Source organism: Homo sapiens, chromosome 4 (assembly GCF_000001405.40).
Source record: "Homo sapiens chromosome 4, GRCh38.p14 Primary Assembly".
Classification (NCBI taxonomy): Eukaryota; Metazoa; Chordata; class Mammalia; order Primates; family Hominidae; genus Homo; species Homo sapiens.
The window spans coordinates 150,868,464-150,881,535 of record NC_000004.12 but is presented as its reverse complement, the minus strand read 5'-3'; the positions used below and the strand labels follow the sequence as shown (position 1 = coordinate 150,881,535).

The 13,072-nt window shown below is 37.9% G+C and overlaps 1 protein-coding gene across 9 annotated transcripts in view, besides 1 other annotated feature; it reads left to right on the top strand.

The window, feature by feature from the left end:
* LRBA (LPS responsive beige-like anchor protein) overlaps positions 1-13,072 on the top strand; it is a 751,293-nt gene that overhangs the window by 134,192 nt on the left and 604,029 nt on the right. For all 9 annotated transcript variants that reach the window (XM_047416462.1, NM_001367550.1, NM_006726.5 and 6 more), the window contains exons 18-20: positions 8,781-8,873; positions 10,083-10,191; positions 10,930-11,011. In XM_047416462.1, coding sequence (XP_047272418.1) covers positions 8,781-8,873; positions 10,083-10,191; positions 10,930-11,011 — 284 coding nt within the window. The remainder of the gene's footprint in view (positions 1-8,780; positions 8,874-10,082; positions 10,192-10,929; positions 11,012-13,072) is intronic.
* Positions 6,772-7,305: an enhancer, noted in NCBI's record as "H3K27ac-H3K4me1 hESC enhancer chr4:151795383-151795916 (GRCh37/hg19 assembly coordinates)". NCBI's record gives its function as "activates a minimal SCP1, AML or CMV promoter by ChIP-STARR-seq in naive H9 embryonic stem cells {active_cell/tissue: H9 hESC(naive)}" and the evidence as "EXISTENCE:reporter gene assay evidence [ECO:0000049][PMID:30033119]".

Genomic DNA, 13,072 nt, shown 5'->3' with positions numbered 1-13,072 from the left:
CCCCCTTCCTTCTCTCCTTCTTGTAGTCCTCATTGTCTATTATTGCCATTTTTATGTCTATGAGTGCCCATTATTTAGCTCCTAGTTATAACTGAGAAGATGTGATATTTGGCATTTTGTTCCTGCATTAATTCACTTAGGATAATGACCTCCAGCTGCATCCATGTTTCTGCAAAGGACATGATTTTGGTTTATTTTTATGGCTGTGTAGTATTCTTTGGTGTATATGTATTACATTTTCTCTATCCAATCTACCGTTGATAGAAACCTAGGTTGATTTCATGTCTTTGCTGTTGTGATTAGTGCTGTAATACACATACGAGTGCATGTGTTGTTGGTAGAATGATTTATTTTATTTTGGATATGTACCCGGTAATAAAATTGCTGAGTTGAATGGTAGTTCAAAGTTTTTTGAGAAATCTCCAAGCTGCTTTCCACAGAGGCTGAACTAACTTACATTCCCACCAACCTTTTCTCTGCAGCTTTGCCAGAATCAGTTGTTTTTTGACTTTTTAGTAATAGCTATTCTGACTGGTCTGAGATGGTATCTCATTATTTTGATTTGCATTTTGCTGATGATTAGCGATGTTAATTAAGCATTTTTTCATATGTTTGTTGCCTGCTTGTATGTCTTCTTTTAAGAAGTGTCTGTTTGTGGCGTTTCCCATTTTTTAATGGGATTGTTTTTAGCTTGTATAATTGTTTAAGTTCCTTATAGATTCTGGATATTAGACCTTTGTCAAATGCACAGTTTGTCAGTATTTTCCCATTCTGTAGATTGTCTGTTTACTCTCTTGACAGTTTCTTTGTACCTAAGCGCTTAGTTTAATTGGGTCCCACTTGTCAATTTTTGTTTGTATTGCAATTGCTTTTGAGGACTTAGTGATAAATTCTTTCCCAAGGCTGATGTCCAGAATGGTGTTTTCTCGTTTTTCTTCTAGGATTGTTCTAATTCGATGGCTTACATTTAAACCTTTAATCCATCTTGAGCTAAAAGGTTTTTTTTTTTTTTTTTGGAGACAGGGTATTGCTCTGTTTCCCAGGTTGGAGTGCAGTGGCACGATCACAGCTCACTACAGCCTCTGCCTCTGCATCTGAAGCGATCTTCCCACCTTGGCCTCCCAGGTAGCTGGGATTACAGGCATGTGCCACCATGCCCAGATGATTTTTGCGTTTTTTGTAGAGACAGAGTTTCACCACGTTGCCTAGGCTGGTCTCAAATTCCTGGGCTCACGTGATCCACCCACCTCAGACTCCCAAAGTGTTGGGATACAGGTGTCAACCACCACACTTGGCCAAGTTTTGTATGGTGAAAGGTAAGGGTCCAGTTTCATTCTTCTGCATATGGCTAACCAGCTATTCCAATACTATTTATTGAATAGGGAGTCCTTTCCCCATTGCTTATTTTTCTCTACTTTGTCAAAGATCAGAGGGCTGTAGGTAGGTGGCTTTGTTTCTGGGTTCTCTATTTTGTTCCATTGACACATGTGTCTGTTTTTATACCAGTACCATGCTGTTTTGGTCACTGTAGCCTTATAGTATAGTTTGAAGTTGGGTATTGTGATGACTCCAGCTTTGTTCTTTTTGTTTAGGATTGCTTTGCCTATTTGGGCTCTTGTTTTGGTTCCGTATGTATTTTAGTATAGTTTTTTTCTAGTTCTGTGAAAAATCACATTCGTAGTTTTGTAGGAATAGTATGGAATCTGTGGATTGCTTTGGGCAGTATGGCCATTAAAATAATATTGATTCTTCCAATCCTTGAGCATGGATATTGTAAAAGGAATTGCTTTCTTGATTTGGATATGAACTTGAAGGTTGTTGTTTGGAAATGCTACTGATTTTTATACATCAATTTTATATCCCGAAACTGTACTGAAGTCATTTAATCAGTCACAGGAGCCTTTTGGAGGAGTCTTTAGGGTTTTCTAGTTGTAGAATTATATTGTCATGAAGAGAGAGAGTTTGAATTTTTTTTGTCCTATTTGGATGCCTTTTGTTCCCTTTTCTTGCCTGATTGCTCTGGCAAGGACTTCCAGTGCTATGTTGAATAAGAGTGGTAAGAGTAGGCACCCTTTTCTTGCTCCAGTTCTCAAAGGAATGCTTCCTGTTTTTGTCTGTTTAATATGATGTTAGCTGTGGGTTTACCCTAGATGGCTCTCATTATTTTGATGTATGTTCCTTCTATGCCTGGTTTCTTGAGGATTTTTATGATGAAGAGATGCTGGATTTTATTGAAAGTTTTTTCCACATCTATTGGGATAAATGTATGGTTTTGTTTTTAATTCTGTTTGTATTGAATCATATTTATTGATTTGTGTATGTTGAACCAACCTCGCATTCCAGAAATGAAGCCTACTTGATCATCGTGAATTAACTTTTTGATGTGTTGCTGGATTTGGTTTGCTAGTATTTTGTTGGGGACTTTTGCAGCTGTGTTCATCAGGGATATTGGCCTGTAGTTTTCTTTTTCGTTGTGTCTCTGCTGGGTTTTGGTATCAGGGTGATGCCGGCTTTGTAAAATAAGTTAGGGTGGAGTTCCTTGTACTCAAGTTTTTTGAATATTTTTAGTAGGATTGCTACCACCTCTTCTTTGTATATCTGCTAGAATTTGGCAGTGAATTTACCTCATCTAGGATTTTTTTGGTTAGTAGGTAACCAAAAAAAAAAAAAAAATTCCTGGACCAGAAAAATTCACTGCCAAATTTAAGCAGGTATACAGTTTCGGAGCTCAATCCTGGTCTGTTCAGGGTTTTAATTTCTTCCTGATTTTGTGTTTCTATGAATTTATCCATTTCCTATAGATTTTCTAGTTTGTGTGCATAGAGGTGTTCATAATTGTCTCTGAGGATCTTTTGTATTTCTATGAGATTGGTTGTATCATCAACTTTGTCATTTCTGATTGTGCTTGTATGTGGATTTTTTTTTTTTAATCTAGCTAGTGGTCTATCAGTCTTCTTTATCCATTCAAATAACCAGCTTTTCGTTTTGCTGGTTCTTTGTATGGATTTTTTTTGGTCTCAGTTTTGTTTAGTTCTGCTCTGATTTTTGTTATTTTTTATTTTCTTCTGGTAGCTTTGGGGTTAATAGTTTGTGTTTTTCTAGTTCCTCTAGGTGTGATGTTAGATTGTTAATTTTAGATCTTTCTAGCTTTTTGACTTAGGCCATTAGTGCTATGTGCTATAAAATTTCCTTTTTTTTTGAGACAGTCCTGCTCTGTCACCCAGGCTGGAGTGCAGTGGCTCAGTCTCAGCTCACTACAACCTCTGCCTCCCAGGTTCAAGTGACTCTCCTGCCTCAGCCTCCTGAGTAGCTGGGATTACAGGTGCCCACCATCATGCCTAGCTATTTTTTTTTTTTGTATTTTTGGAAAAGACAGGGTTTCACCATGTTGGCCAGGCTGGTCCAGAACTCCTGCTCTCAAGTGATCTGCCCACCTTGACCTCCTAAAGTGTTGGGATTACAGGCATGAGCCACTGTGCCTGGCCTAAAGTTTCGTCTTAACACTGCTTTGGCTGTATCCTAGAGTTTTGGTTATGTTGTGGCTTTGTTTTCATTTATTTCAAAAAATTTTTAAATTTCTGCCTTCATTTCATTGTTTACCCAAAAGTCATTCAGGAGCAAGTTGTTCAACTTCCATGTAATTGTATGGTTTTGAGAGATCATCTTGGTATTGATTTCTATTTTTATTTCACTGTGGTCTGAGAATATGGTTGGCATGATTTCAATTTTTTGAATTTATTGAGACTTTCTTTATGGCGAAGCATGTGGTTGATCTTGGAGTATGTTTTGTGTGCAGATGAGAAGAATGTGTATCCTGTGGCTGATGGGTGGAGTATCCCATAGATGTCTATTAGGTCCAATTAGTCAAGTGTTGAATTTATGTCCAGAATTTATTTGTTAGTTTTCTGCCTCCATGGCATGTCTAATGCCTGTCAGTGGGGTGTTGAAATCCACCACTAATATTGTGTGACTGTCTAAGTCTGTTCCTACGTCTCGTAGTCGTTGTTTTATATATCTGATTGCTCTACTATTGGGTGCATATATATTTAAGGTAATTAAGTTTTCTTGTTGAATTGAACTATTTTTCATTATGCAATGCCATTTTTTGTCCTTTTTAACTCTTGATAGTTTATCGTTTGTTTTATCTGATATAAGAATAGTGACACCTGCTCTTTTTCTCTGTTCTCTCTGTGTGGTAGATCTTTCCCCAACCCTGTACTATGAGCCTATGAGTGGTGTTATATGTGAAATAGGTCTCTCTTTTTTTTTTTTTTTTTTGATACGGAGTCTTGCTCTGTCATTCAGGCTGGAGTGCAGTGGCGCGATCTCTGCTCACTGCAAGCTCTGCCTCCCAGGTTCATGCCATTCTCCTGCCTTAGCCTCCTGAGTAGCTGGGAATACAGGCGCCCGCCACCATGGTTGGCTAATTTTTTTTTGTGTGTTTTTAGTAAAGACGGGGTTTCACTGTGTTAGCCAGGATGGTCTCGATCTCCTGACCTCGTGATCCTCCTGCCTCGGCCTCCCAAAGTGCTGGGATTACAGGCGTGAGCCACTGCGCCCAGCTGAAATAGGTCTCTTAAAGACAGTAGATGGATGAGTTTTGTTTTTTTTATCCAATATGCCATTCTGTGTCTTTTGAGTGGGGGCATTTAGACCATTTACACTCATAGTTAATATTGATATGTGAGATTTTGATCCTATCATGAAGTTGTTAGCTGGTTGCTTTGTAATTTCTTTTGTGTGGTTGTTTTATAAGGTTTGCAAGCTACGTACATGTATTTTTGTGGTAGTAAGTGTTGTTCTTACATTTCCGTGTTTAGAACTCCCTTAAGGATCTCTTGTAAGGTTGGTCTGTAGGTAACAAATTCCCTTGATGCTTGCTTGCCTGAAAAACATTTATTTCTCCTTTGCTTATTAAGCTTAGTTTGGGTGGATATGAAATTTCTTGGCTAAATTTATTTTCTTTTAAGGATACTGAAAATAAGCCCTCAATGTCTCCTGGCTTGTGTGGTTTCTGCCAAGAAGTCTGCTGTTAGGCTGATGGGGTTCTGTTTGTATGTGATCTGACCTTTTTCTCTGGCTACCTTTAAGATTTTTTCTTTAATATTGATCTTGGGCAGTCTGGTGACTATATGCTGTGGTGATGTTCATTTTGTATGGTATCTTGTGATGTTCTCTAGATTTCTTGTATTTGGATGTCTATATCTCTAGCAACTTGAATTATTTCCTCACATATATTTTCCAGGTTGTTTTCTTTTTATCCATCTCTCTCAGTAATGCCAGTAATTTATAGGTTTGGCTGCTTTGCATAGTCTTATATTTCTTGAAGACTTTTTTTCATTTTTCAACCTGTTTTTGAAAATTTTTGTTCAGGTAAATTTGAAAGATCGGTCTTCAGGCTTTGAAATTCTTTCTTTTGGTTTGTCCAGTCTGCTGATAAAACTTTCAGTCTTGTTTTGTAATTTCTTAAGTGAGTTTTTCAATTCCAGGATCTCTGATTGATTTCTTTTTAAGATGTTTAATCCCATTCATCTCCTGGATTGCTTTAGAAGTTTCTTTTAATTTTCAACATTGTCTTGGATATCATTGAGCTTCCTTGCAGTCCATGCTTTGAATTATTTATTTGTCAATTCTTCTGAGTTTCCATTTTGGTTATGGACCATGGTTGGAGAGCCAGTGTGATCCTTTGATGGTGTCACCACACTCAGATTTTTCATGGTGTCTGAAGTTTTGTGGTGGTTCCTTCTTTGGAGATGCTGACACTTGTAACTTTTGTAATAATTTTCATGCTTTTAAGATTTTTTTCTTTCTCTGTAATGTTATTATTATTTTTTTGTCTTCTTTCTCTTTCCCTGTCTTCATAGGGGGTGTGGCTATAGAGAATGCTGGGTAGGGCCTTTTGGCTTTGCTTCTGTAGCTTTATACACTTCCGTCAGCAGGTTTTATATTGGGCTGTGCAGTTCAACCTACAAGCCATTGGATGGCAGTTATGAGTAAGAGTGGGCTTTGGCCAATGTGGCTGGGTATATACTTGACCCTTGTTTAGTGGGAGAAGTTCTCTGTTGCCTCAGGCAATAAGCTGATGTGTGTAGTGCATGGTGGTCTGAGCTCCCTTCTATGCTCTGGAGAAGGGCACAAAAAATAGTGATGGGAAACCTCAGCCCCAAGTTCTCTGCATGGGAATGGGGATGGCCTAAACTCCTAATCCAGGAAAAATGGGTTTTCCAGATTCCTGGAGATCTACTGGCTGTGAAATGGAGAGGGTCTCCTACACCAGGATTTCTGCACCGGAATGGTGGGACACCTCAGGGTACTGAACCAGGCAAGCAGTTATTTTGAATCCCTGGAGATAGGCTTGGGTGTGAAACAGAGAGGGCCCCCTGTACCAGGATCTCTACATAGGAATGGTGCAGAGGGTGCTGTTCCAGGTGACTGAGTAGTCTGAATGCCTGGAAATCTGCCTGGCCATGGAGCAGAGAGGTTCCCCCTTGCACCAAGATCTTTGCACAGAGGGGTGAGGTGACTCAGGCTGCTGGAGTAGCCAAGCAGCTGCTCTGAATGCCTGGAGATCTCCCTGAGCATGAAGCATAGAGGACCCCTCTGAACCTGGATCTCTGCAAAGGAAGAGTGGGGTGGCTCAGGCTGCCAATCTGGGCAAGCAAGTGCATTTAATGCCTGGAGATCTGCCTGTGCATCTTGCTGCACCACGTGGAATAGGGCTCAGGTTGCTAGTCCGTGGGAGTGGGTGCGTCAGTTGCCTGGAGATCTGCCTGGGCATGGAGCAAAGAGGGTCCAGTGCTATGATCTGTGTCTACGAAGGGTGGGGTGGCTTGAATGTCTGGATTTCTGCCTGAGAGTGGAGCAGAGAGGGCCCTGCTGCACCACAGTGTCAGGGTAGCAGGCTGGAGCACCCAGCAATGACACATGCAGACTGGTTCCAGGTCACCAAGCTGCCTCTGCCTGCCAAGTCTTGTTGTCCAGGAGATATTGCAGCTGTAGCAGCTTTCCTCCCACCCCAGGCCTGCGACGGGGTAGAGTACAATTATAACACCTACTGCTGAGGCAGTTTTCACAATTCTGGCTCCAAAGCAGGGACTCTAATCTCTGGCATGCCTGCACAGCCACACTGCCAGATTTCCAGTTTGAATTGTGTGTGCTTGAATTCAAAATGGCATCCTGCTGTTGGTCCCTGCAACTTTTCCTGGTGTCTTTCCCTCACAGTATCTCCATACCTCTTTCCCAGTTAGCTCCAGGTCTTGGGAGAAACAAAGTGCTCTCGGGAACTAGGGTGCCTTTCATGATTCTGGTGGAGTCCTGCTTTTCTTCCTGAATTAAAGCTCACAGTTGATTTTTATATACTATCTTGCTATTTCTAAGTGGCTGAGAAATGCTAAAGCCCTCAAATCTGCCATCTTTGGGGAAAAAAACTCAAAAAACTATTGTGATTTTAAACTGGTATTATATTAATATTTCTTTTAAAAGGTTTAATTTTTATTTGGCTGAATTTAAATCCTTGAAGAAAAGAAACATACAACATATTAGTATTTTCCTAATGATTGACTGTTAAGTTTTTGTACTAAGATTTGAATTAAAATTATGCAGTTACAATGTGATATGGACCTGGATGCCTTTAGTTCATGTTTTAAAAGGAATCAAACTTCTTTTTTATATACCTGCTTTTCTATTGATCACTAGAGGTTGAAGATATTTCCTTTTTGTTCAGAATGTTTTCTAACTTACTAAACACCAAAATTTTGATCTAGGAGGATACTGATATCCTTAATTTTTATAAGTAATTATAAGAGTTTCTAATTACTGTTCTTGTTCTAAATGTTTATGAGGAAGGGAATGCTGTAATGAATCAGTTTAATTTCAGTTGCATTATACTTTACTTATACTAAAATCAGAAGGCCTTCCTAGATCTTTGTTTGTTTGTTTTTTTTTTTGAGACAGAGTCTCACTGTGTTGCTCAGGCTGGAGTGCAGTGGCATGATCTCGGCTCCCTGCAACCTCCACCTCCCAGGTTCAAGCGATTCTCCTGCCTCAGCCTCCCGAGAAGCTGGATTAGAGGCACATGCCACCACACCCAGCTAATTTTTGTATTTTTAGTAGAGATGGGGTCTCACCATGTTGGCTAGGCTGGTCTCGAACTCCTGACTTCAGGTGATCTGCCTGCCTTGGCCTCCCAAACTGCTGGGATTACAGACGTGAGCCACTGCATCCAGCTGCCTCATAGATCTTTAAAAATTAAATTAGATTACTATATAATTTTTGAGAATTGAATGAGAAATTTATTTTTAGCAGTTCTTTGGTTGTAAATCTTTTTACTTTTGTAATTATTTCTGATAATCATTTATTATTAGCCTACTGTCTTGTTTTTCATGGCGACAATTATTTAGAAATTTAAATATGTGCTACCATTAGAAATGCTTTCTTTCTACTGACTTAAAATAACAAGTTGGTAACCTTCAGAACATTTACAAGCCTGTAGCAGAAGGAAAAAAGTATCTGAAAGCTAGCTTGATACACACGTTACATATAAGTATGTGCATGGAAAAGTCACCTCATTTCTTATATTCCAATTTCTTCTCATTTCTTAGTTTTCATTGAAAGGAACTCTAGCCTGAGATAAGCAGATTTTTTATATACAGAAATCTATATTAAATTTCCTTCCATATTATTTGAAATAGATTTATAATAATATGAAAAGTATATATTTTAAACCTTTCCATTTAAAAATTATACTCAAAATAGTTTGTTTTAAATTTTTATTCATTCAGTGTTATCTACAAACTTCTGGCATCGAAAAGTGAAGGAATCAGGGTACAAGCTCTTAAGGCAATGGGTTATTTTTTAAAACATCTGGCCCCAAAGTAAGTATGCCGAAATCTAAGATGGACTGTTGTATTCTACTTATTTATTTTATAAATCTTTGCAGTAGTAATTTTGTTCTATAGTCCTCTAGTTTTTCTTTTATTTTTATTCATAAATTGCTGTATAAATGTAATCCCACTAGTACATATTTTAAAAATTAAGTGAACAGGATTAATTTTTTTGTACATAAAATTATTTAAATTATTCATGTATTTAATGTGAATTATGAGAATTAGTTTGGACAGCTTGCATTCAAGAAGCTATGGAGACTTGATTTCAGGTGACTCACACCATTTTTGCTTTATCTGTATTATAAAGTAATACATAACCTGGATGTTTGTCACATAGTGTGTTCTGCTGTATGCGTAACTCAAAACTGAAACTTCCACGCTTATTTTCTTAGCTGAATACAGATATTCATGTTCTACCTCTTGTTCTTTGTACCAGAAGTAGTTTATTTTAAAAAGAAAATTTTGGGGGTAGAACAAGTGTTGGTAAACTGAAGTCTTTAGGAATCCAGTTAGCCACCTGTAAATAAAGTTTTATTGGAAAACAGCCACAATAATTTATTTGTGTATCATCTGTGGCTGCTTTCATGATACAAGGACAGTGTTGAGTTGTGACAGAAATCACCTGGTCCACAAATTCTAAAATATTTACCCCCTGGCCATTTGCAGAAAAGCTTTGCTGACCCCAAGGGTAAAATTAAAGTTTGTGATCCTTTAGTTTCTGAATTTATGCTTGGAAGGTTAATTTTGGTATATATGTTTTCATAGTATTTATTTTAAAAAATTATATTACATTTCTTCTACTTTTTCTCCACATTGTTTTTCTACTTAAGTATTTATTGTGCTTTAGATGATCATCCCCAGGGGAGACTAAGTTAGTGCTGGTAGATTGTAGCAACTTCGTTAAATAAATAACTGCTCTGAAGATTTTGGAGGAGGTTTTTGCTGTGCTGTAGCATAGGCACACTTGTCTTTTTTTTTTTTAATTTTTAACTTCGGCTATGCTTATATAGTTAGCATTTCTCTGCTTAAAGGTTTTGTGGCCTTAAAAGTTCTAGATTGAAGATAGTTGGGAGAGTAATTGAGTTGGGAATTGTTTGTAATGTGAAAAAGTATTTTGTGTTTCCTTCATCCAGCATGCATATTAAGTAGAGCACAGAAAAGCTCTACATTTGATGATTTCTTTTTGTGTAATTGCAGGAGGAAAGCAGAAGTCATGCTTGGACATGGATTGTTTTCATTGCTAGCTGAAAGGCTCATGCTTCAGACAAATTTAATCACAATGACCACATATAATGTGCTGTTTGAGGTAGGAATGTACTTAGGATTTACTCCTCTAAATTTCTTATTATAAAAATGCCTCTTAACATTGTGTAGGTAAATAAGATCATTTATTTTTATTTTATTTTTTGAGACAGAGTCTCACTCTGTCACCCAGGCTGGAGTGCAGTGGTACAGTCTTGGCTCACTGCAACCTCCACCTCCCGGGTTCAAGTGATTCTCCTGTCTCAGCCTCCCCAGTAGCTGGGATTACAGGTGCACACCACCTAACCCGGCTAATTTTTGTATTTTTAGTAGTGACGGGTTTTGCTGTGTTGGCTAGGCTGGTCTCGAACTCCTGACCTCAGGCGATCTACCCACTTCAGCCTCCCAAAGTGCTGGGATTACAGGCATGAGCCACCATGCTGACCAGACCATTTAAGTTTGTAATGTACAGCTTTGAAATGATATAAGGAGATGTGGCTGCATTTTTAGAAATCTATAATTAATCTGTGAATTTCTAAACAGTATCGTTATTTCTGTTTAAATGTTCCCTCCATTTTATTAACTATTTGATGTCTCATTTTATAATTAAGAAAACATAGAGTAATAATGCTGTAGTTATTTTAGAAGTATATTATTTAGCATGACAATATTGGACTAAAAATATACTATATTTTGATTAGTGTTGTACTTAAAGTTAATTAATAGTGATGCACTTAAAGTTCATTAATAGTGATGCTAATCCAGTGATTTGCTAATGTAATCCATTGTTTTACTTCTGTAGATTCTTATAGAACAGATTGGTACTCAGGTGATACATAAACAGCATCCAGATCCTGATTCTTCAGTGAAGATACAAAACCCTCGTATGTATTTTATATACTTTAACAAAAACTACCTTTTGCTACTTAAAAAGAAAGTCACTGTGAACAACCTAAAATTGATGTTGTTGAAACAGATTGTTAGATGAATGTTTCATTAAGGGTGATGATATTATACTAGTTTTGTTTGGGTTTTATATTGAGTATTCCTTCGAATCAACCTTAAGTTATGTGGAAATTCTTATATAAAGGTTTTGAAGAATTGTTTGCTTAAGGTCTTGATGTAATATATGTTCAGACTTTCAGCAAAATTTTGATTGTGCTATTTAGTGATGTCAGGCAGAATTACAAGAACCATTGGGGTAGTTTTATCTTAAATTACTGTGAATATAAAAATACCAAATTTGGAATAGAACAATATGTCTTCTTTATTGTTTATGAAGATAGTCTTGTTAAACAGTCTTTTCTTTTGATATTTAGAATTCTTAAGCACTTGTATAAAGTATACCTTTTTCATCTTGCTTTTTAAGATCATGTTATTAAAATTATTAGTTTGTAGAGTTTTAAAATTTAATTACATTTTATGTGGTTAGGTGTATTTGTGTGTTTGGTACTCCAGTGCTAATTTTCAAAGCACGTGGCTTTGAGGTTTAATTTTCCTCAGCTTTCAGAGAAACGTGATGTCATTATTTTGCCTATGTTGCCCAGGCTGGTCTAAAACTCCTGGGCTCAAGCAATCTTCCCACCTCAACCTCCCAAAGTGCTGGTATTACAGGCATGAGCCTACTGCACCTGGTCTAAGTGCATATTTTTAAAAGAATTTTTTTTTTTGTTTTAATTTAAGCTAAGAAGCTAAGTTCTGGAGATTATTTATTTATTTAGAGACCGAGTCTTGTGCTCTGTTGCCCAGACTAGAGTAGAGTGCCAGGATCTCAGCCACTGTAACCTCTGCCTCCTGGTTCAAGTGATTCTCCTGCCTCAGCCTCCCTGGTAGCTGGGATTACAGGTGCCTGCTACCAGGCCTGGCTAATTTTTGTATTTTTTGTGGAGATGGGATTTCGCCATGTTGGCCAGGGTGGTCTTGAACTCTTGACCTCAAATTATCCAACTGCCTCAGCCTCCCAAAGTTCTGGGATTACAGGCATGAGCCGCTGTGCCTGGCCTAATTTAAGCTAAATTCTGGAGATTTAAATAGCTTTATGCTAAGACCATTACAATAGTAGTTTAGTTTGCATTTTCTGGGGAGATGGGATGTTGAATAGGTTTTAATTTCCTTTGGGTTTTTTGTGTCTAATTTTACTTTTAAGATTATGAAAGAAAATCTTCACACCTTTAAAAATTCTCTATGGTAGGCCGGCCGTGGTGGCTCATGCCTGTAATCCCAGCACTTTGGGACGCCAAGGCAGGTGGATCACGAGGTCAGGAGTTCAAGACCACCCTGACCAAGACGGAGAAACGCTGTCTCTACTAAAAATACAAAAATTAGCTAGGCGTGGTGGCAGGTGCCTATAATCCCAGCTATGAAAGACTGTGTGTGCATACCATAAATTATGATGAGGAATCTAAGAATTTATTATATTTTTCTGAGATTTTGATTATAGTATTTTTTATTTTATTTCATTATTTTTTTTTGAGACAGAGTCTTGCTGTGTCGCTTAGGCTGGGGTGCAGTGGCACGATCTTGGCTCACTGCAGCCTCTGCCTCCTGGGTTCAAGCGATTCACCTGTCTCACCCTCCTGAGTAGCTGGGATTACAGGCACACGCCACCACACCTGGCTAATTTTTATATTTTTAGTAGAGATGGGGTTTTGCCATGTTGGCCAGGCCGCTCTCGAACTCCTGACCTCAAGTGATCCACCCACCTCAGCTTCCCAAAATGTTGGAATTACAGGCGTGAGCCACCTCGCCCGGCCTGCTTGTTTTTAAGATCAACTTTACTATTTGGTATATCTCAGAGAGAGTAAGCAGTTTCACTGACATTTAATTCATTTATAATTTAACTTGTTTTATTTTAACCTTTTAAAGTTCAGCTTTATTTTTGCACATTTGAATCATGAAAGAAATTTCCTTTCATATTTATAAATGCTTTCTAATGAATGTATTGT